The 23,954-nt window shown below is 39.6% G+C and overlaps 1 protein-coding gene across 7 annotated transcripts in view, besides 2 other annotated features; it reads right to left on the bottom strand.

Annotated features, from left to right (window-relative positions):
- Positions 1–23,701, bottom strand: part of MSRB3 (methionine sulfoxide reductase B3) — a 188,225-nt gene extending 164,524 nt beyond the window's left edge. For 3 of the 7 annotated variants that reach the window (NM_001193460.2, NM_001031679.3, NM_198080.4), the window contains exon 1: positions 23,519–23,701. Coding sequence is in view for 1 of the 7 variants with exons in the window: in NM_198080.4 (NP_932346.1) it covers positions 23,519–23,615 (97 nt within the window). In the remaining 6 variants the exon portion in view is untranslated. Of the gene's footprint in view, positions 1–22,866; positions 23,428–23,518 lie in introns of those variants that run through there. The other 4 variants (XM_024448919.2, NM_001193461.2, XM_024448921.2 and 1 more) reach the window with 3 other exon arrangements.
- Positions 22,952–23,261: a silencer, noted in NCBI's record as "silent region_4633". NCBI's record gives its function as "represses an Ori minimal core promoter by ATAC-STARR-seq in GM12878 lymphoblastoid cells {active_cell/tissue: GM12878}" and the evidence as "EXISTENCE:reporter gene assay evidence [ECO:0000049][PMID:35858748]".
- Positions 23,362–23,491: a silencer, noted in NCBI's record as "silent region_4632". NCBI's record gives its function as "represses an Ori minimal core promoter by ATAC-STARR-seq in GM12878 lymphoblastoid cells {active_cell/tissue: GM12878}" and the evidence as "EXISTENCE:reporter gene assay evidence [ECO:0000049][PMID:35858748]".

Here is a 23,954-nt window from a genome sequence, read left to right as displayed (position 1 = left end):
ATTTCACAGGAAAGAGAATTGCTTCCAGCTTTAGGAGAGGGAGTGGCAGGGACATATGGGAGTTTGGTACCAAAGAGAAGCTGTATGAAGGAAGACTTTTTATTTGTATTCTTTCATCTCTATATCTTTACGGTTACCCATTCTCAAACTTTTGGATCTCAGGATTCCTTACACTCCCCAAAATTATCAAGGGCTCCAAATACCTTTTGTTTACATGATTATAAATATCAATATTTACTTATTAAAAATTACAGCTGAGAAACTTTTTAGATATTTGTTTACTCCATTAAAAATAAATAAAAAATAATTTACAAAATGACTATTCTTAAAATAGTAAAACTTTATTTTAACCTGAAAGCTTAAATAATTTATAAAAATGACATTTATAGTGAAAATTAACTATATTACCCAAAATAAAAATATATGTATAATGGAAAGAGTTCTATATTTTTGCAAATCTCTTTTTATTATCTAGCTTAATAGAAAACAACTGAATCCTCATCTCTGCTCCTGCAATCAATGTGTTGTGATACGTTGTTTTGGTTGAAGTACATACGTGAAGAAAATCTAGACTCACACAAATAAGTAGCTGGAAAGTGGAGGAGTATTTTAATAACCTTTTCAGATAATTGTATGTTTTATTCTTTTGTTATCACACCGAAGATCAACAAATGGTAGTCTGAAACCATATCAACGAAATTCTCATACTGTTACATTAAAACCCATTGGTCTATCTTGCGTTTTGAATGGACCTTCTAACCTTCCATGATTTTGTAACATCCTGCACTGTTCCTTTGGAAAACATTGGTTCACCGAGTTATACAGATCTTTCTTATGTTGAAACATTTCGTAACATGGTATCAAAAAACCATACTCATTAATATCATCACTGATTTCATCAGAAAAGTTTTTAAATATTGAGAAGCTGTCAAGCTCACAGTAGGAAATGCAAGTTTTCCAAAATTTCCGTGTAGATTTTACCTATTCTTACAACTTCAACCATCATTTCTTGATAGATGAATACAAAGGTCTAGCACCAACTTTGATCCAAGCTCTAATGCTTTATCTTCTAACATCTACTAGATATCAACTTGCATTTGCACAGTATGTTATTATTTACAAGGCATTTTCGTATATGTTATGATAGTCTTATAACCTTATAATAAAGCCTTTAGTCTCCATATATATTATTTAATATTTGCATGTATACATCTATAATGAGATTAACAATAATCATTTTTGAGCACCTGTACTGTGTGTATGTGTATGTGTGTGTCTGTGTGTGTGTATATATGTGTGTAACCTCATTTAATCCTCACATCAACCCTGAGCTAGGTACTCCTATAGGTAGTAGTCATTATTACTCTGTACACAGTATTTCTGGCTCTCCATTTTCCAGGCACGTGGTAGGAATGCACTTCCTGGCCCCCTTGTGGTTGGGTAGGAACATGTGGCTGGCTAGCTCTGGGCAATAAATTGTGAGCAGAAATGATTATGTGTATTGCTTCCAAGCCAGAGTACTTAGCTGTTGGTGTGAGACCCTCCAGGGCTTTCTCTCCCTCTGCAGCAGGGAACAGCAATGTTCTATAATTAGATGGTGGCTGCTCCATTAATCACAATTCTGGGATAAGGAGATACGGGGCAGAGCTCCCATCTGAACCACAGTGAACAAACAGTACAAAGAAGAACTAAACCTTCAGCATTTTAAACCATTGGGATTTGGGGGCTATTTGTTCCAATTGAAACTGAAGCTTAGAGAATTACCTGCTTGAGGTTAAATGGCCAGTAAATTATGGAGCCAGAATTTGAACTAAACTTTATTTTAATCTCTTCTACTACATTCCAAACTCCTCAAGGGCAGGGGCCCTTGTGCCCCCAGATTGATGTCCTTGTTTTAGAAAACAACAGAGTCTGGAAGGATGAGAAGTCTAATGCCAAGGACAGTGAGACCACTTCCAAAAGTCTATAGTTTCTCTCTCATTAGTCATCCCTTCTATCCTAAATATCCCAAAGAGATTCTTAATTTAGTCAGAAGATACGGCTGCCCTCTCATATTCCCACATTAAAGGCCAGGAGACAGCTACTTGACTTTGATCACTCAGAGCTCATAAACTTGTCTCAACACCAAAAACTAAAGATTTTCCTCAGCTGCAAAAGTGACTGAGTAGCTTCTGGTCACAATAAAATGACGATGTGAAGATCTTATTTCCTGAAGCAATTGAAAGTTTATTGGACACTAAGCACATTCACTGTAGAAAGCTAGTGATCTAGCAAGTCAATGCCTAAATCCAGACCTTACAGATACAACTTTTGATTTTAAATCAATCAACAAATACAAGGAAAATCAATCCATTTGCCATGATGATAGAAAAATGTCTGTTTCTTTCAACAGCTGAGATCATGACCCTGGAACTAATGAGAAGGAACCACATTAATAGCTCACATTGTGACCTGGAAGTAATCGATGTGCACATAGTCATAACAATATAAGCTTTTAGAGACAACCTATGGACAAATATTTGACTGTGATTTCAGAACAGACTGTAAGCATTAGCAAGTTCACATTGTGAAACAAAAACTATATAGCAACAAAATGTAAAGAAGGCTGGAAAGAAAGGTGGAGGAAAGACTCAGGGTATCAGTGTCCTCCTCTTATAAAGTAGAGGGTTAGAAGACACCAACTAGACTGGAAAACGCTAACTGACCCCTAGAATCCATACTCCCTTCTTCTTATTAGTAATAGAACCCCCTGAAATTTTAACTGAACATACAGCCTCATTTCTCACCTTCCCTTGCAGCTAGATGTGAACATGATACTAAGTTGTGGAAAATGGAATGTAACTCAATGTCATGTATGATCTTTCAGCTCATCTCCTTTAAAGACAAAGTCACTTGCTTTGGATTTCCTCTTCCCTCCTGAGAAATGGCAGCAACTGCATCAGCACACTTGAACCCTGAGAAGTAAGGCACTTGATGAGGAAGACAAACCTAACAGGTCATGAGGCAGAGCTATTCACCAGCCCAACCTTGGACTAGTATATGAAAGGGAAACTTCTACTTTCTGTAAGTTGCTCCACTTGTAATCTCTTTGTCAGAGCAGCTTAGCCTGTTGTCTATTAAAGTCTAACAATGGTAAACAGAAAGGTGAAGAGACAGCAGATAAATACTTATATTCTGTAACTGGTTATTATCTGAAACTGATGCATCAATAAATAGCACTATAACTATATTAACCAAAATTATGAAAGTAACTACTAGAATAATGATTTTAAAACATGACTTCAGAGGAGTGAGACAGAAATAGAAAGAGGTGGAGTTGCAGGTAGTTTTTTTCACCTTAGTTCCCCTGTACCAAGAGCCATGTGCAGGTTTTTTATAAAAGTAAAGCTTATACATAAAAAAAGATCCAGTGCCTCAATGGGCCATTTTATCTAAAGAAAAAACCTGGTAATGCAAGCTGACTAAATCCTATGCCTGGGACTATAAACTACAGTATCTATATCACTAAAAGACTATTTTTAGTGAGCTAAATATAAGCCTTAAAAATACATATCCTTAAATCATATTTCATATATTTTAAGTCAGAACTTTGCCACCCATTCATGGAATAAAAAGTTTTAGCACTGGAAATTACAAGTAAATATCTGCTCTTGTATCTGAATTTTTGTATCCCTCCCCATAGAAAATAGAAAATTATTAAATAAAATTATAATGATGGCTTGCATCTGATATAGCAGATAAAAGAGAAGTTTTATGAAAATGGACTCCTTATATTCCACTAAAAGGTATATTTAATGACCTCTATCAACTATCCTTTGACATCATGTTGGGCTTAGGAGAGAGGAAAAGTCCTGAATGAGATCATAAAGTAGAAGAAATAAAATATTTTGCAAAATTTCTACTTTGTCCTATACTGTTTTTCTTCGTGAATTTTAGGTGATTAAAAGATGTTTTTCAAAGAATCTGAGCATTCCATATCTACTTCAAACTGCTTATTATATCCCAAACTCAATTCATTTATTACTTTCTTTCTTCACTAATTATTCTGTCTGTATTTCTTTGTTAGAAAGTAGTCCCATCAGCAGGGTGTGGTGGCTCACGCCCATATTCCCAGCACTCTGGTAGGCCAAGGCAGGAGGATCGCTTGAGCTCAGGAGTTTGAGACCACTCTGGGCAACATGGTGAAACCCTGTTTCTACCAAAAATACAAAAATTAGCCAGTCGTGGTGGCATGCACCTGTGGTTCCAGCTACTCGGAACGCTGAGGCGGGAGGATTGCTTGAACCCAGGAGATCAAGGCTGCAGTGAGCCAAGATCAGGCCACTGCACTTCAGCCTGGGTGACAAAGTGAGGCCCTGACTCAAAAGAAAAAAAAAAAAAGTAGACCCATCTATCCAGGCACTAAAATCTCAAACCTTGGAGTCACCACCAATTCCTTTCTACTGTAACCATTCATATCCAAACAATACTAAGTGCTGTCAATTTTATTTCCAAGATACTGCTCAAATACATCCCTTTCATCTCCCATCTACCATAAGTAATGGCCTCTTATTGGTCTTTCTGCCTCCAATCTAATTCCCCTCACATTCACCCTCCACACTACTGCAAAAGGGCTGTGTACTAGTTCTGACCATGCCATAAGCCTGCATAACATGCTTCTATGGCTCATTAGAACCTACAGGACAGGGGAAAGAAATCTAACCAATGTATCCTGGTATTCAAGACCCATCAGGTTTGTTTCTTTTCCTAAGTATAGAACCTCAATCCTCAACGCTCTCTGGTACACTATATGCTTCATGAACTTACTTGTCCCTTACTTTATTTCTACTACCTAACACGATGCCTAACCTTAGCAGGCATTCAGTAAATATTTGTCAAATAAATATAATGTTCTGATGATAGCCAACAATTTATAGTTTCCCATACAGTCTTGTCTACCCTCACCATATGACCCATATCCTCCATCTCATATGCAGAATGGATTCTATTTTAATTTTTATTTTTATTTTAAGTTCCGGGGCACATGTGCAGGATGTGCAGGTTTATTACACAGGTAAACATGTGCCATGGTGGTTTGCTGCACCTATCAATCCATCACCTAGGTATTAAGCCCAGCATGCATTAGCTATTTTTCCTAATGCTCTCCCTCCCCTCACCCCACCCTCCAACAGGCCCCATTGTGTGTTGCCTCCCTCCCTGTGTCCATGTGTTCTCATTGTTCAGCCCCCACTTATAAGTGAGAACATGTGGTGTTTGGTTTTCTGTTCCTGCATTAGTTTGCTGAGGATAATGGCTTCCAGCTCCATCCATGTCCCTGCAAAGGACATAATCTTGTTCCTTTTTATGGCTGCATAGTATTCCATTATTTTTTAACCTTCAAACACAGTTTAGGTATTATCTCTTCTGGGCAGAATATTATTTACAAATCATTTATATTTATGATACATTTAGATATCATTTCTTTCACAGTTGTCCCCCACTTCCTTCTCCCTATCACTTCCATGAGAAAATTAATCAGTTCTTCCTCCACACTACTTCCTACTTCAGGATCTCTATTATTGCAGTTTGAAGTTTAGGTTCATAAATCTGTTTCTCTTTTAAACTCCTTGAGAGTAGTCAGTGGTCTTTCACTTCTGTAAAATAAAGGCTCAATAAATGTTTTAGTATCACTGAACAAATGGCACTTCCTGTTTTCCTTCATCTTTGTGCGTAGTGTCCTAGTTCCCAGGGACTAGGGTATCCTGTATTGCTGTCTAGGCAGTGCAGTATACAGGAAAGAGTCCAAACTGGGTTCAAATCCTGACTCTATCACCTAACCAGCTGATATATTTTAAGCAATTTAGTTACTCTCTAAGATCCTCAGCTTCCTGTGGATCTCTATAGATCCTGTTTCCTCACTCGTATAATGTAGATCATAACATGTACTTCATTAAGTTTTGGAAGAGTTAAATGAGAGAACGTTTTTGAAAGCATCTAGCAGCATGCTCAGTGAGTTTTACTTCCCTTATGGAGATTGAAAAGTAAGACGAAGTTTAAAAGAGAGAAAGAGAATGTATGTGTGGCTGTGGTGCATGCATGCATGCGTGTGAGTGTTGGAGGGTTTAATTAATTTATTTTTGCACAGGGAAAGAATGAGGTGATTGCCTAACAGACAACTCAACTAAGATTACTTTTTCCATTTCAACAATTATGTTTTAGCAACTGTCAGAGAAATCATTATATTTGACAAAAAAGAAATTTCAAATTTTGTGACCAACTATTTCAATGAATCATATAGAGTGATGTAACTTTGTGTATGCATGAAGAAAATACACTAATAAAATGAGTATTTGACAAAACAAACTGCTGGTCAACTCCAATGTGAATAGCACAATAGAAATTATAAAACATTTATTGCAATTCAACTAAAACTGCCAATATTGCTTACTCTCATTCAAAAATAAATCTGTTCTAGGGCTTATAACTAATTGTGCATTGTGACCCTGAGAATTATCTATGACATTACAGGTCTTGAATTCCTAGCAATAACCTTGTGACTGATATAATTTATCACCTGAATTTGTAGTAAATTCCTTTTTTCCTAGGTTCTTATTCTTATAGAATGCTAGCAACATTTTATATTCCATAATTAAAATATTATTTGCTTTTAGGTTATTCTATATAGGAATTTTACAGCCTCCCAATTATGCTTCTTTGTAATCCTCCTATTAATTAAATGTTGTTTTGCAAGGGAGATTTAACATGTTATATAATAGTCTTTAATTTCCTCAGATAACAGAAGGGCTCAGGAAATAAACAGCCATACATCTTTCCCTACCAAAAAAAAAAGGGAGACATCAACTCAAAAATGTACTTTAGCCAAATGATGTATGAATCAAATATCCTTAAGGATAGTTAAATTAACATTAAAAGTTGTGGTGGTAGTCACTGAATGCAGTAAATGTTGTATGATTTAATGAAAAAGATAAAAATAATCCTTAAAAGGGAGAACGTATAATACAAAATCATATAGAATGTCAACTATTCGACAATAGTCATGTGGATCTACAGGACCCACTCTAGCTAACAAAGGCAAGGCAGAGAAAAAGACAAGAATCCTAAGTTTCTCCTGTAGAAAAGAGTCAAATGCTACTGCATTTTTTACTTTTTCAATTTAATACTTAGGTAAGGCTCAATGATGTTTTTAGATACTTTTTCAAGGTCATAGAACCTAAAATAAACCCTATGAAAGAAAAAAGTGAATAAAACATGGAAGGTCAGGCACAGTGGCTCACGCCTGTAATCTCAGCACTTTGGCAGTTGCGGCAGGAGGATCACTTAAGGCCAGGAGTGCAAGACCAGTCTGGGCAACATAGTGCCATCTCTTCTGCACATAATTTTTTTAAAAAAGTAACCAGATGTGGTAGGCATGCCTATAGTCCCAGGTATTTAATACTTGGGAGACTGTGGTGGGAGGATCACTTGAGCCCAGGAGTTCGAGGCCACAGGGAGCCGTGATCACACCACTGCATCCCTGCCTGGGCAACAGAGACCTTGTCTCAAAACAAAACAAAACAAAAAAACCCACAGAAACCACATGGCAAAAGATTGAAAACCAAGGTGGAAAAAATCACAAAAAGAACATAAAACTATAGTACAAAGAGTGTCATCAAATATGTCCATAACATAAAATATAAATGACTTAAATGTGCCTATTAAAAATAATGTCTCATATAAAGTTACAATACAAAAAAATGGCCTAGAAGGATTTTTTTAAAGCAAAGAGGAAAACAAATTGCTCGCACATGCATGTGCACACATGCACAAGGACAAAGGTGGCAATAAAATAAGTACCTTTCAAAAGAGAGCTCACCCATGTTCTTCCTCAGTCAGATTCCCACCAGTTCCCATCAAAATGATAAGTATAAAAATAGGGGAAAACCTACATCAGCATTGGAAACTAAAAGAATAAACCCACTTTGAAAAACTGCTGCTATCGTGCAGAGAGGCTATATTGAAGAAAAGGCCAACTCCTAACTCATCTCATGCACAAATATTGTTACTGCAAGTTAGTGAGATTCAGGAGATTCCCAGTGGGATTCTAAATAGGATGAAAGGCCAGAGGGCAGGTAGGCCATGAGGTATGGAGCTTAAAACTCACAGGGTCTATCTGGATCCAACAGGAGACACTAATAAGCACTTCTGACGTTGGAAGCCATATGAAACAAGGGTTCTGTGGCAATGCTCATGCCTAGATTTCAAAGGATTTGGGAAGCACTGCCATGCTGCCTCTTGAAAAAGACAGCTAACCTAAGAAATACTGGGGGCACTGCCTGGAATTCCTGGATAGCACTCCAATCAGAAAAAAGAAACTTCAACCCCAGAACACTATCTCCTTACTAGAGCTGCCTTCGAATGATGCTGCTTCCTTCCCCTCTACCTGGAGGCCACAGGAGAGCTCTGAAAGTAAACCTACAGAAAACTGAAACTTTTCTGTTCTCCTCTTTTGTCACACTGAAAGATTAAAACAAACACACACCAACCCAGCCAGAAGGCCTCTCATTCCCCAAAATGGGCATGCCCATGCTGCATTTATTCCTCACTCTATTTAACAAACAGAAGCTGGGGAGAAAGTGAGAAACAAGATGCCATGGTCCCTGCCACCATGAAGCTTACGTCTTAGTGAAGCAAAAGACATTATGAACAAGTGCAGTAAGGATGACATAGAAGCAGAGTGGGGAAGATCCTATACAACAGAGGGATGTACTGTAGCTTGTGGGGCATGAGAAAGCCTTCCTGGAGGAAGTAACATTTAAACTAAGAATAAAGGCTAAGACTGTTGCCCAGATTAAGAATAAGGAAAGAAGTATTCCAGACACGGGAAAAGATGAGCAGTAGCCCTGAGGTAAGAGTGTAGCTTATTGAAGACTGGGAAAGAAGAGCAGTGTGGTGGAGGTGTCAGTGAGGAGCAGGGGAGAAAATGATAAGGCTGACAGGTGCAAACCTTAGAAGCCAGTATAAGAATTTGGAACTTCGTCCCAAAAAGAAAGGGAAGTAAGTGAAGGAGAACATAATCAAATCTGCAAACTAAAAAGAGAAACATGACTAAAAGGTGGAAAATGGATGGGAGCGGTGTAAGAACAAAGGTGGTGAGACACTTTAGGAAGCCATTGCAGAAATCTAGGCAAAGAAATGACACAGGACATGAGATCAATAAAAAAAATTTAAGAGGACTTCAATTCTGGCTCAAGTAACTGGGCAAATAGCAGTACCATTTATTAAGCTAGGTAACAAGGTGGGGAGGCTTAAGTTCAGGCAAAAAAAGTTCAGCTTGTGATGTGTTTATGGTATCTAAGACACAGCCATTTAAATGGAGATAATATAGAGGCAAATGAATACATGGAATTCTGCTTTTACTTTTTACTTTTCTCATTTAGTACACGTTCTTAGACAATCTTATTTATTCCATGGCTTTAGTTCTGTCTGTATATTGAAGTTTCTTTTTTCTGATTGGAATGCCATCCAGGATTTCCAGGCAATGCCCCCAGTATTTCTCAGGTTGGCTGTCTTTTTCAAGAGGCAGCATGGCAGTGCTTCCCAAATCCTTTAAAATCTAGAAGAGCACCACACTACTCTTCTTTCCCAATCTTCAATGAGCTACACTCTTACCTCAGGGCTGCTGCTCATCTTTTCCTCTTTCTGCTCAGGATTGAGAACTGGGCTGAGCGGTAGATGTGGACAGTTGATTATATACAGACAGAACTAAAGCCATGGAATAAATAAGATTGTCTAAGAAAGTGTACTAAATGAGAAAAGTAAATATCAGAGCCCTGAGAACTTCAACATTCAGAAGTGAGTTGAAGGAGAAAGAACTAGCAAAGAAGATCAAGAAGGAGCAGAGGCCAAAAAAAGGAGAGGTCAAGGAAAGTGTTGTCCCAGAATGATGATGATGATGATGATGACGATGACAATGACAACGCTAGTTAACTTACTGGGAATTAACTCTGAGAATTACTGTGCTAAGTAATTCACATATATCCTCCCATTTCATGATTACAATAACCTATGTGGTAGATACAATATTATCTCCATTCTATAAGTGACAAAACTGAGGCACAGATAACTAATTTGCCTAAAATCATGTGTCTAACAATAACAGAAACCAAGAGAAAAGACAATTTCTAGAAGGAATGGGTGGTCAGTGTATCAAACGCTCTGAAGTCAGGAAGACAGGGACCAAATTGAGCTCACTGGGCTCAATGATATGAACACCATTAGTGGCTTCAACCAAAACTGTTTCAGTGGAATAGTATAGATGATTCTTCTCTTTTCCTTAGACTTTATATCCAATCAGCAAGGTCTCAGTTCTGCCACCACCACTGTGGTCCAAACCATTATCAATTCCTATCTGAACCACTGAAGTAGGCCTAAATGGTTTACTGCCTCCACTCTTGGCCCCTACAATCCGTTCAACACAAAGCAGCTGGAGTTATTATTTTAAAATGCAGATCAGATCTTGCCACTGCCTACCTAAAATCCTCTAATGGCTTCCATCACACAGAACACTATCTAAACTCCTCATAATGATCTAAAAGCCCCATATAATCTGGTCTTCTTCTTTGCCCTAAACTCTAACCATGCTCTCTCTTGCTCCTACCACAAAATAGTCTACTTACTCTTTCTACAACATGCCATGCTGGTTCCAAACTGAGAACGAAAGACCCTGAGAATGAGGTCCTGTGTTTCTCTGGTCCATACTGTAACCTCAGATTAGATAAGTTAGTGCCTGACATGTAACAGGGCTCAATACATATTTTTGGAAGGATGGCAGATAAACAGAAACAGCAAGGATGTAAGCAACTTGTAAAATAGATTGATCGTTGGGTGGGGGCAGGTTTGAGCAGGCTTTTTTTTTTTTTAAGATGAGAGATATTTAAACATGTTTAAATAAGGGATATTAGGAAATTACCCAAGAGCTTGGAAAAACTTTAAGACATCAAAAAAGCCACAGAAGCTGGCTGTGGAAACCAAGAGAAAAGACCTGTAATCCCAGCACTTTGGGGGGCCGAGGTGGGCAGATCACCTGAGGTCAGGAGTTCAAGACCACCCTGCCCAACATGGAGAAACCCCATCTCTTCTAAAAATACAAAGATTACCCAGACATGGTGGCAGGCGCCTGTAATCACAGCTACTCAGGAGGCTGAGGTAGGAGAATCACTTGAACCTGGGAGGCAAAGATTGCAGTGAGCCGAGATCGTGCCACTGCACTCCAGCCTGGGTGACAAGAGTGAGACTCCATCGCAAAAAGAAAAAAAAAAGAAAGCCACAGAATACAGGAAAAAAGATAATTAGCTAGCTACCTTAGGAAAAAATTAAAGCTGTAAAAGAAAGTTGTGTTACAAAGTTGTGGTACATCTCTGCCAATGTTTCTTCTGTAATTTGAGGGGTTTGGGTAAAATCAGTAGTTTCCAATCACTATCAAAAACTTTATTTCCCCTCATGAACTCCCTTGGTTATTTCATACTGAAAAGGAGTTCTGATTAGCAATTATATATGTCTGATTTTAAAATATTCATTACTTAACAGATGCAACTTACTTGAAAAAGTCAAAGCTCAGGAAGATTAAGTGATTCATCTAAGGTCATATCAATATTTTTCAAAAGAGGAGGGCATTGTCCAAATATGAAGAAACTAGTCCGAACACACAAAGGAAATCAAGGGAATCAATTCCAAACCACAGACCAAAAGTAAAAAACTGAAATATTTTAGAAGGATAACAAATAAGGCATACTTTTCCCCCCAGTTAGGAAAAAGAAAAGCAATAGTGAATCCCAGAGAATTTTTAAAAGACCTGTAGAACAAAATCATGGAAAATTACATTGTGTCATGGCTTTGAGCAACCGGTGTCGTACAGTAGAACCCATTTGAACATCACACTAGGGCCATTCTCTTTTGAATGTCATAGAAATGTTTAAATATCTTAAAAAGTTAAATGGGAAAAGGCATAATTAAAAGAAAAGACTACATAGGAGTCAAAGTAGTGGAATGATTACAAACACAGACTCTGGAGTCAGACTGCCAGATTAAATCACAGTCATACAAATTACTGAACACTCTTGCCTCAGTCCTTAATCTTAATATATGATTTATCATGATGATATTGTACTTCCTTGATAAAACTGTAATAAATAAATATTTAGAATAGTGCCTGACACATAGCACATATCTGTAAGTGGTTGGTATTATTATCACTATTATCATCACTATTATTATTAAATATATAGATAATGAAGCTTGAAAGTAATAGGAGAAAATACAGATTTGACTCCATAGGAAAACACAAGAATCCTAATGGATAAATGTCCAAGGAGCATAAATAAATTAAAAAGTAGAAAAACATATGGATAATAAATGCTAAGTTTTAGAAAGATGAGTTATATACACCAATATAGATAACATAAACATAATTTTGTGGGGGATAAAGAAAACATGGTACACATACATCATGGAATACTACATAGCTATAAAAAATGTGATCATGGCCTTTGAAGCAACATGAATGGAACTGGAGACCATAATCCTAAACAAATTAATGCAGGAAAAGAAAACCAGATGCCACATGTTCTAAGTGGGAGCTAAACATCTAGTACACATGGATATAAAGAAAGGAACAATCGACACTGGGGCCTATTTGAGGGTGGAAGATGGGTGAGGATTGAAAAATTACCTATACCATACTGATTACCTGGGTGACAAAATTATCTGTACACCAAACTCCCATGACATGTACTTTACCCATGTAACAAACCTGCACATGTATCCCTTGCACCTAAAATACAATTTAAAAAGATAAAAAATGCAGGTCACAGAGGATACACAGCAGATGATAACTTTTATTTATTTATTTATTTTTAGATAGAATCTCACTCTGTCACCCAGGCTGGAGTGCAATGGCACAATCTTGGCTCACTGCAACCTCTGCCTCCCGGTTCAAGCAATTCTCCTGCCTCAGCCACCTGAGTAGCTGGGACTACAGGCACGTGCCACCATGCCGGCTAACTTTTGTATTTTTAGTAGAGACAGGGTTTTGCCTTGTTAGCCAGGCTAGCCTCGAACTCCTGACCTCAGGTGATCCGCCCACCTCAGCCTCCCAAAGTGCTGGGAATACAGGCGTGAGCCACCACGCCCGGCCAATAACATTTATATAATGTTCTAACATATGCAAAACTGAACAATATGATATAGAGACATACATCTATGATAAAACTATAAAGAAAGCAAGGTTTATCAGTTATTTGTGTTCAATGATAATCACAAAATATAGGACTATGGGTACTTCTGAGTACAGGAAATGTGTGTCTCACAGGCATCTTTCACATTTCATTTCTGAAGCTGGATGAGGGTACCCAGATTTTTTTAAAATATTCTTTATACCTTATATAGACACTATATATTCTTTTTTGTGTATAAAATATTCTCTCATAAAAAGGACAAATCTTATAAGTGAATTTTACAGGCAAGAGAAGATACTTTTTAAAATCATCAAATTAGCCAAGTTTTTTTCTTTAAAACTCACAGTGAAGTTTTTTTTAAAAATAAGACCAGATTAACCAACCTTAAGAGTTAAATATATTTAATAGGGTAATCAGAGGCAAATTCCAATGGTAATATATCCTGCTAAATGAGGACTTTTCTCATCTGAAATCTATTGTCAAGCATAAATAAGCAATTCCCAGCTGTACATTTAGAAAGACATAATTTCTAGTCCTTAATACCATTACTTCAGATGGGATATTTAATATGATGCTTCTGATACATTGTAATCTATTCTTTAAATACTAAATCTTTAAAAGGGTTATGTAACTTTGCCAGTAGCTCAAATTACTGGGCACACTAGGCTACGAAGTTCAAACATAAGATCTTAGATGCAGTGTAACACTTATAGTGAATCGCACAAGATAGTCAACTTGAACAAAATATTTTTTAAAAAGACATAATTTTGCATACTGTATTAACTATATTTTTCCATTAAAAATTACAGAAAGTTGGAGACTTTAAAATAATCCTTAAATTACAGAATCTTTTTTTTTTTTTTTTGCGGGGGGGACGGGGTCTCGCTCTCTTGCCAGGCTGGAGTGCTGTGGCATGATCTTGGCTCACTGGAACCTCCGCCTCCCGGGTTCAAGTGATTCTCCTGCCTCAGCCTCCTGAGTAGCTGGGACTACAGGCACACACCACCACGCCCAGCTAATTTTGGTATTTTTAGTAGAGATGGGGTTTCACCATGCTGGTCAGGATGGTCTCAATCTCTTGACCTCGTGATCCGCCCGACTCAGCCTCCCAAAGTGCTGAGATTACAGGCAAGAGCCACCATGCCCAGCCTACAGAATCTTAAAGCAACACCAGGTATTACCCAGTCCAATTCATTCATTTTGCAGATATGAAAACTGAGGCACAAGAAGCTTAAACGACTCAGGCAAAAACAAGACTAGAAAAACCTAGTTTTCCAATTCACTGTCAAATGTTCTTTTCATAATACTACACTGACTCCCCTGCAACACAAACACATACACAAGGATGCAAATATGTAAATGAGCCTATAATTTTTCAAGTGGCTCTGCACGCAGGTAAACATGCTCTGCCCTCAACCCTCCTCTTCCTGGCCCCCTAAGGCGATCTGACTAGAAGGCATATTCACACCCCACAAAATCAGAAACAAGGGGGACTACAGTGCACTTTTTCCTTTTTGCTCTCAATTACTGTGAGACCAGAGTTGCAAAACAACTTGTGGCTTTTCACCCATTTCCCTATCTAATCTGGACTGTTACAGGAAGATATGACCTTACCTTTCCTTAGCTACACACCACTAATCTAAGATAAAATAAGTATTCACCTATAATAGGCCCTATAGTTCTCTCTCAACCCCAACCAAACTCAGGTTCTCTGACAATCAAACACAATAAAAACAAAAGAAATGTACTGGGCGTGGAGGCTCATGCCTATAATCCCAGCACTTTGAGAGGCCAAGGTGGGAGGACTGCTTAAGTCCAGGAGTTCAAGACCTACCTGGGAAACATAGGGAGACCCTATCTCTACATAAATTTTTTTTAAAAAATTAGCCATGCATGATGACACAAGCCTGTAGTCCTAGCTACTCAGGAGGCTGAGGTGGGAGGATCACTTGAGCCCAGGAGGTCAAGGCTACAGTGTGCAGTGTGCTATGATCCTGCCATGGCACTCCAGCCTGGGCGGCAGCCAAAAAAAAAAAAAAAAGAGAAATGAAAGAACAAACATAAAATTTAGGGCTATCTAATTTATACAAAGACTGTCCTGAGTTGTTTTTCGGTTTTTGGTTTTGCTTTTTTTTTTTTTTTTTTTTTTTTTGAGAAAGGGTCTCGCTCTGTCACCCAGAATGGAGTACAGTGGTGCAATCATAGCTCACTGTAGCCTCGAACTCCTGGGCTCAAGCGATTCTCCCACCTCAGCCTCCAGAGGAGGTGGGACCACAGGTGCATGCCAGCACACCTTGCTAATTTCTTTTTTTAATTTTTAGTAGAGGCTAGGTCTTCCTATGTTGCTCAGGCTGGTCTCGACCTCCTGGCCTCAAGTGATCCTCCTTCCTTGCCTCCCAAAGTGGTGGGATTACAGGCATGAACTACTGTGCCTTGCCTGAGTGTTTTTTTTTTTTTAATAGATTCTACCATGTAGCACAGGCTTATTTTCAATAATGCCTTAAGTCTTACATATGTACTGAAAGATGTTTTTGTCTTTAAATAAAATAAGTGACCCAAGAAACCATAAGGATTTGTTATGTAATTTATAGTAACAGAAGACATGTCACGGCTATAACAGAGACCTGTAGGTGTATACTCACATGCAAATCAACTAAATTTCACTTTAAAATAGCACTGTAGTCCCAACAACAATGCTCATATACCTAAAAATATAATTTTTAAAAAGTATTTATTTATTGTATCTGACTTCTAATCCATGAGACTATTTAAAAGTCCAGTCTTAGTATAAAGTACATTGTCTGGCATAACATATATAAATTTTATTGTAAGAGGATTCTGAGAAGGTGTTTCCCTGTCATTCCAAAATTTCCGCTATGGCTCAAATTTTCAAATAGAAGTTTTCCCCCATACCCCACATTCTAAAGTAAGAGGACAATGAGATACTCAAAGTTGAGACCAGAACTTCCTGAGAGTATCCATAAAGCAAGAAATCAAGTGTCCATAGACTCTATAAGTCATAATTTCCACATGTATACTTTCCAAATATATGAGAATTTTTTTTACATTTACAAGAACTTATTTCAAAGTTTTATAGTAGCTTTTGCTGTTACGTATTTTCTCAGTCAACAGATACTAAAAACATAGTTACTACTACATGAAAGGGTCTCCATTATTTTTAAAGAGTTGGAAATTACTCAATACTATATACTGTATGTAAATGTGTCACTTTAGACAAATGTTATGAATAATATACTATTTTTATAAACCTAGAATCAGGATATACCATTCGCCTGGGAACTAGACCCTAAGAAAACACTTCCTGGTTTTTTGGGGATTTTTGTTTGTTTTCTGAGATAGGGTCTCACTCTATTGCCCAGTCTGGAGTGCAGTGGCACGATCTTGGCTCACTGCAACCTCTGCTTCCTGGGCTCAAGCAATCCTCTCACCTCAGCCTCCTGAGTAGCCAGGACTACAAGCATGCAACACAATGCCCAGCTAATTTTTGTAGTTTTTGTAGAGATGGGTCTCACTACGCCGCCCAGGCTGGACTCAAGTGATCCACCCGCCTCAGCCTCCCAAAGTGCTGGGATTACGGGTATGAGCCACCAAACCCAGCCGAAAACACCTCCTATACCAGCATTCTTTCTCTGTTTCACCTATATTCATCTCCACATTTTATAAACCTCTTTAATCGTGTAAATAAAGCCCTCTCATAAAATACATTCCCTCAACTTTCCTTTAGGAAACCAAGTATCAATAAATAGCCCTGAGGTTTCCACATCAGCACAGCTGGGTAACCCAATCACAGCAATGCCCAGTAACAATGCTGCTCCAGGCTACCACGGCCAAGTGTCAGAGATCAGGGTATAGTGACCGGAGTGGCCAACTCAAGTAAGTGTACAGGAACCTTGCAGTCAACACTTGAAGAGATAAGGCAAGCAAGGAATTCTGTAAAAATGAGGGAAGTATGTGATTTATCATTATTTTTCATTTTACATTAGGAAGTTATCAATAATTATTTTATGGATAAGAACCTGACCATGGCCACAAAAAGTAACCATAAAGGACCCCAAAAAAGTATAAAGAGTACTCCATCTGGTGGAAATCATATCTTCTTCACATTCTGTCCAGTCTTGGGGAAGAAGAGTGAGGAACGAGGAGGAGTGTGAGACACAATGTGTGTTCAAATTGGTGATGATGAAGACATTTAGGAGTCAGTCCTTTATCTGAAGAAAGATAAGAAGCCACTGAGGGAGGGTTAAGCAGGAAAGAGGGGAAATGATTTTGTAGTTTAGAAAGGTCATTCTGGATGCAGTATCCTTTGTCCAACACTTCCCATGTATTATCTCTCAAGTTAGTAAATGTGATGTCCCCTCAACAAGGAAAGCTCGTGAACAGAATGCCATATACCGACTCGGCATCTTTTAAAGTCAGATCAAATTCTCTCTTCTCTATGATGCTTTTCCTGTACCCTTCCTTTTACTCCAGCTAACAAATGCTCTCTTTTTCTCTTTATTTTTAACTCTCCTTACTCATACATGTTTTATTTCCAGCCTTGATCTCTCCCTCCAAGTTCCAGTTTCACACTTCGGATTCTACTACACATCTCCACAGGAATATCCTACCAGCACCTCAAAAGCAAGAGATCTAGAACAAAACTTATTTTTACCTCCACCCACAAACCTGCTGAGATCACATTCTCTCCATCACCCAGGCTTAACATCTCATGTCACCTTTTATTCATCCCTTTCTTTCCCAATATCCAATTGCTTATTTCTGTCCAATGTACTTTAGCAACACTTCTACTGCGGTGCCGCTATTCTCGTTAGGTCTTCATTCCTTAAGAGAAACTCTCAAAACACTTCTTTATTGGTCCTATGACTTATTTCCCAATTTAATTAATTATCTAAACTATTGGATTATATAACCTATAATTCACCTCTGATTATGACATTTCAAGGATCAAAAATGTCAGTCTCATAACTTACTAACCCAATCCAAGTTCCCTAACAGCATTAAAAGCCTTCCACTTAATTTTCCATATTTGTACTTTATTGTCCCACTATTCCACTTTATACATGCTCATTTTCTTCTACACCTGTCCTCTCTATCTGATCTGGTAAATTCTGGGTGCTCAACAAAAGCTGATTTCCTTCTGTATGAGTTGCTGTCCTCTCCTTCCCCCTGCCATCTCAGTTACAGGAAAGCATCCTATCATTTGTATATTCCCTCTTCATACAGGAAATTAGTGTTCATGGAAAAGCATGTAAAATCTAGGAAACAGACAAGTATTAAGAAAGAAAAGCAGAGTGATTGAACTCCAATTTCAAAAGAAGACAGCAGCAAGCAGGATACCATAAAAGCATCAGAGTATCTGAAAAAGTCAGAATTGTTATACCTGGAACAATGGATGCTCAGAGCCTATCAGAATTCTTCTAGCTGAGTGCAGTGGCTCATGCCTGTAATCCTAGCACTTTGGGAAGCCAAGGCTGGCAGATCACTTGAGGTCAGGAGTTTAAGACCAGCCTGGCCAACATGGTGAAACCCCATCTCTACAAAAAAATACTACAATTAGCTGGGCATGGTGGCAGGTGCCTGTAGGCCCAGCTACTCAGAAGGCTGGAGTGGGAGAATCACCTGATTCTAGGGAGTTCGAGGCTGCAGTGAGCCATGAGTGTGCCACTGCACTCCAGTCTGGGTGACAGAGTGAGATCCTATCTCAAAAAAAAAAAAAAATTCTAGGTGATTCACTGACATATGGAATTTATAGTTTAGTGAAGTTGAATATATATGGACTTAACTACAACACAAGACAATATAGTAAAACTTGTACTCCAACCATGGTCCAAAACACCTTAGAAGCACAAGGAAATTACAAATTCTGTGGTATGAAGAAAATGTCACAAACTACCATCTGACAGAGGCCTTAAAGACTTCAACCTGTTGTGATAGAGAAGAGGTCCAGGCAGTAGGAACAGCCTAAAGGAAAGGTAGAGACAGAAAATGTTAGATATGTGTGAGAAATAGGAAAACAACTGATAAATTCTCAGTCCCTAAGCTATTACTGTTTCAAATATCTCTACCACTTATAGTTTTAATGAACTTATCCTAAAGAGCCACTGGAGGTCAGCATTTTATTCAGTGAATTCCTGAAAATATGCAGATGATTATTTGCAGAGTGAATTAGTTGTTATCAGAGAAAATGTTCACAATTCATTTTAAGGACTATAACCTCATAACATAAAATGGAAAAATGCAAAATCAAACCATCTACATGGCTGTACTACGTACATCAGATACTCTAGAATTAGAAGAGACTTTAGGGAAAATCTAGGTCAACCATGTGACCTAAACTGTGTCTATCAGGTTCTACCTCCCAGGAATTTAGGATCAAGGCTCAATAATATAGTCCCTCCTTATGAAGGGACACATAAATACTCAGGAGCTGCTGAGCAGCCACATCTAACCATGAAGAGAAAAAAAAAAAAAAAAACACCAGCAAAGAAAAAACAGTGAAGCAAACTAGAGACAGGGAATGTTCTAGATTTTTCCAGTCCCTTATCTCAGGCCCTAAATGAGGTCTGCCTGCATTTGACTTCCAATGGTTTTCCAACAAATTCCTTTCTTCCTTTTTGCTAAAACTAGTTCATTTCTGTTACTGCAATAGAAGCTTAAATGAGGCAATAACCAAAATCTTTCATAAAGTCAATTGTTCGATGCGTTTGTTTGATCTTTTCTATACTTTCCTTTTTTGTACTTCCCTTAAAGCCATAAACATGACTTCAGCATACTATACAGACAAATATATGAACATGGATGAGGGACTGTGCTGAGCAATTTTTTTTTTTTTTTGAGACAGAGTTTTGCTCTTGTCGCCCAGGCTGGAGTGCAGTGGCATGATCTTGGCTCACTGCAACATCCGCTTCCCTGGTTCAAGTTATTCTCCTGCCTCAGCCTCCTGAGTAGTTGGGATTACAGGTGCCCACCACCATGCCCGGCTAATTTTTGTATTTTTCATAGAGACAGGGTTTCACCGTGTTGGCCAGGCTGGTCTCAAACTCCTGACCTCAGGTGATCTGCCTGCCTCGGCCTCCTAAAGTGCTGGGATTACAGGCGTGAGCCACCACACCCAGCCTGTGCTGAGCATTTTAAAAGGAAAACCCATCATGGGCAGGAAAGAGAAAATACAGAATATTCAAAGTAAATCCTTGAGATACAGCAAGAAGAAATGCTAACTAACAACTGGCAAATTAAATAGCTGATTACCCTTCCATCCAAATCCAGTTTAATTCTGCTAAATCAGATAGGTAGATCCAATTCAATCTTCTCTGAGGTAAGATCAAAAGGTGATAACCCATTATAGGCTATTTCATCTGGAATGCTCACAGATAACTAGCCTTCCCAACCACAGAAATGTTTGGATGCTCTCTGGCGGTATCCCTAACCCAGACCTAAATAACAAAACTGAATATCAAACTGTCTTAAGGCCTGGGCTTAACTATCCCCAAAAACCAGTTAGGCATTTACCCTATGACATAATCAGCACTTTCTGCTATTAGATGAGGAAGAAAAAGTGATAGAAGCTTAACACGGAATCTGTCCAGGTATGTATGTATCTTTGTGCATGTTCCAGGTATTAACACAATCCTGAGACAGATCCGGACTCTCCAACACTGGACCACACCCATCACATCTGGCTAAGGTAGGCCAGTTTGACATGTATAGCAAGTCACAGGCTGACAATCAGAAGTTTGAACCACATGTAGTAGGTGGCTCTGAAGAGTTACATAAACAAAAACAACATTATAGGATCTTGGAGTTAGAAGAGACATGGAAACTGTCCAACTTAATAATTTTACCGAGAAGCTAAACATGGGAATCAAATTCATCAACCAAATCCATAACTATGATAAATTAATTATACAGGTGCAGATAAATTAGAGGGATTGTGACCAGATTATGACAGAACCAAAAATGCAGTGGTGTGATCACGGCTTACCACAGCCTCGATCTCCCTGGCCCAAGCAATCCTCCCACTTTGGCTTCCCAAGTAGCTGAGACCACAGGAGTGAGCCACTATGCCCAGCTAATTTTTTTTTAATTTTTGTAGAGACAGGGTATCCCTATGTTGACCAGGCCGGTCTCGAACTCCTGGGTTCAAGCAATCCTCCCACACTGGCCTCCCAAAGTGTTGCATTACAGGCATGAGCCACCACACGTGGCCTTAAAATCTATTTTTAATTATTAAATGGCATATGTATTAGAAAAACTGATGAACCTTACTGTTGGGATAGTCTTTGGATATTCTTTTGAGTTGAGCAAAATAGCAAGGATTTCTGACTTAATGGATTAACATCTTAGTTAAAATATTAGAACAAGCACTTTTAAAAACAAAAAGCAGTGTGTTGATTCAAAATCTAAATTACATTGTATGCTGCAACCTTGCCATACAAGCAGTTTAAGCACTGTGACAAAATTCTAGATAAGTAGCAAAGAGCTACTTATCTTAATATAAAAATTTCCAGATATTCATATAGGGCCCTAATAAAAGTCATCAGAAATTAGACTGATATATCAGCTGGGACCGGAATTAAAAGAATATATGTTTAAATGGTCCAAATATAAACTTGATGTTCAAAATTACTGGCAAGGGGCCAGTACAGTGGATTCTGGTCTTCGAAGGCCGTTTCACCACAAGTATTAGGTAAGTCAACACATCACTGAGGAAAAAGAAAGCATACATATGTTTCCTGGCAATAAAATCCACTCTTCACTATCCAGCACAGTATTTTTTAGAAATCCATTGAAAAATGTGAAATTAGAACCTGTTGTATTTCCCAAGAAGTGCTATTAAAGTTACTTCCAAAATATGAATCTATAAAAAACAGGGTTTTTTTGAAAAACAATACTATGCAGAAAGAAACATGAAACTGATATCACTGCTCAAGTTACTATTTACAAATTGCAAATTGAATAAAGTTAAATATTGTAAATATCTGCCATTAATCTGAACTGACAATTTTATAAGTTATATGAACCCTGAAGTTTTTTTATAGACAAAATTGTTTTTGAAAATCGATCTTGCCACCAGCGCTGCAAATGAAAATATGAAGAGATAAACCAGAGAGTACTGAATATAATCTATGCTTCATAGAGTCATGTTTCAACTAATTTATGAGTCCTAGTTTGCCATATCTTATTTGACAATTTAGTCTATTGGTAGAAAAAACAAAAGCAAACTAAAATCTCCTAAGAAATCTCAGCTCTAAGGAATTATAATTTATATTCTTCCATTCCCGATAAAATTAAGAAGCAAGAAGCTTTGACGACTACTCATCACAAACGTAAAAGTCCATGCAATTTCACATTTACCTTTATCCCTACCTTTGTACTTTAAAATAACTGCTTTTTAAAATAATAATCTGATATTAAATTCCCCCCAACAGTTCCCACATGATTCAAGAAGATTATCTTATAAAGTCTTACTGTAACGACTTCATAACTGCCACTTCCGATAGCTATTAGCCCTAAACCAAATAAGGCAGGAACAGCACTTTTCATTCATATAGTTTGACTCGAAATAGCCCAGTGTAAAACTTCAAAAATAGACTTGGATGCCTTTTTCTGCTTAAAAACAAAGCAAAACTGATACCTGGCAAACTCGGGGTTCTGTTCGATTTTGGCCTGTGAAATGCCAGGCGGGCCCGCTGGAGTCTGGCCCAGCAGCGGGGCAGCAGCGCAGGGAGGGCGGGCGGCGGGTGCGCTCCCGGGTGCGCCCCTCCCTGCCGCCTGCCCGCCGCCCCGCACCCCCGTCCTCTCCGAGGCGCGCGGCGAAAAGCGCAGGCCTGGCGGGCCGGTTCCCACGCCTCGGGCCCGTTATCTGAGCGGCAACCCCGGCAGGGTCGACGCACAGAGCAGAGGGCTCCGGGATGGACCCCTCCCCTGCCTCCCGCGGGCTGCCCCGCCAGATCCCTCTCTCCTGGGCCCGCGCGGGGCGAGAGGCTCCCGCGGGTTCAGGTTCGCTCCCGGGACAGGATAAGGTGTCAGTGAGGCTGCCAGACGCCTCCCTTCGGCGGGTGGGGGGAAACCAGCCCTGACCTCCTTCCGTTCGGCCCCTCACCGCTGGCGCGGGGCGCAACCCTTCTGCTCCCCTTCTCGGCTGAGGCAGGGGCTGTCCCCGCAGGTGGCCGAGGGGGCGCAGCAGGCGCAGAATGGAATCCCGGCTCGGGGTCACACCCTAACGTGGCAGGGTCGGGGTGGGAGGGGTGAGGCGAGGAGGAGAGGGGAGGGGAGCCCGAACTTACCGGACTGCGCACTTCCCAGAGCCGCGGCCAGGCAGAGGCAGAGGCAGAGGGAGAGGCAGAGCGAGAGGGGGCGCGGGAGGGTCCGCCGCGGGCTCATGGAAAGGCCAGGCAGCCGCCGCCGGTGTCCGAACCTCGCTCCCTCCCTCCCCGGCTCCGGGCGACGGACGGGGCGGCGGGAGGCATGACGGGAAATTCCTGGGCACGGGCAGCCGAGTCCAAATATGAGCATAGGAGACGAGCGAGGGAGGACCACGGAGCGCGCCGGCCGCGGACGGGGCCCGCTGCCCGGGGCTCGGCGGCCGCCAACTCCCTCCTCCTCTGCCCTGTCCTCTTCCTCCTCCTCCTCCTCCTCTGCACCGTCCTCCTCCTCCTCCTTCTCTGCCCTGCCCTCCTGCTCCTCTCCTCCCCCTCGTCCTCCTCTGCCCCAGGGCTGCCG

Source organism: Homo sapiens, chromosome 12 (assembly GCF_000001405.40).
Source record: "Homo sapiens chromosome 12, GRCh38.p14 Primary Assembly".
Classification (NCBI taxonomy): domain Eukaryota; kingdom Metazoa; phylum Chordata; class Mammalia; order Primates; family Hominidae; genus Homo; species Homo sapiens.
The sequence above is the reverse complement of the archived record's forward strand: the minus strand, read 5'-3'. Positions and strand labels throughout refer to the sequence as shown.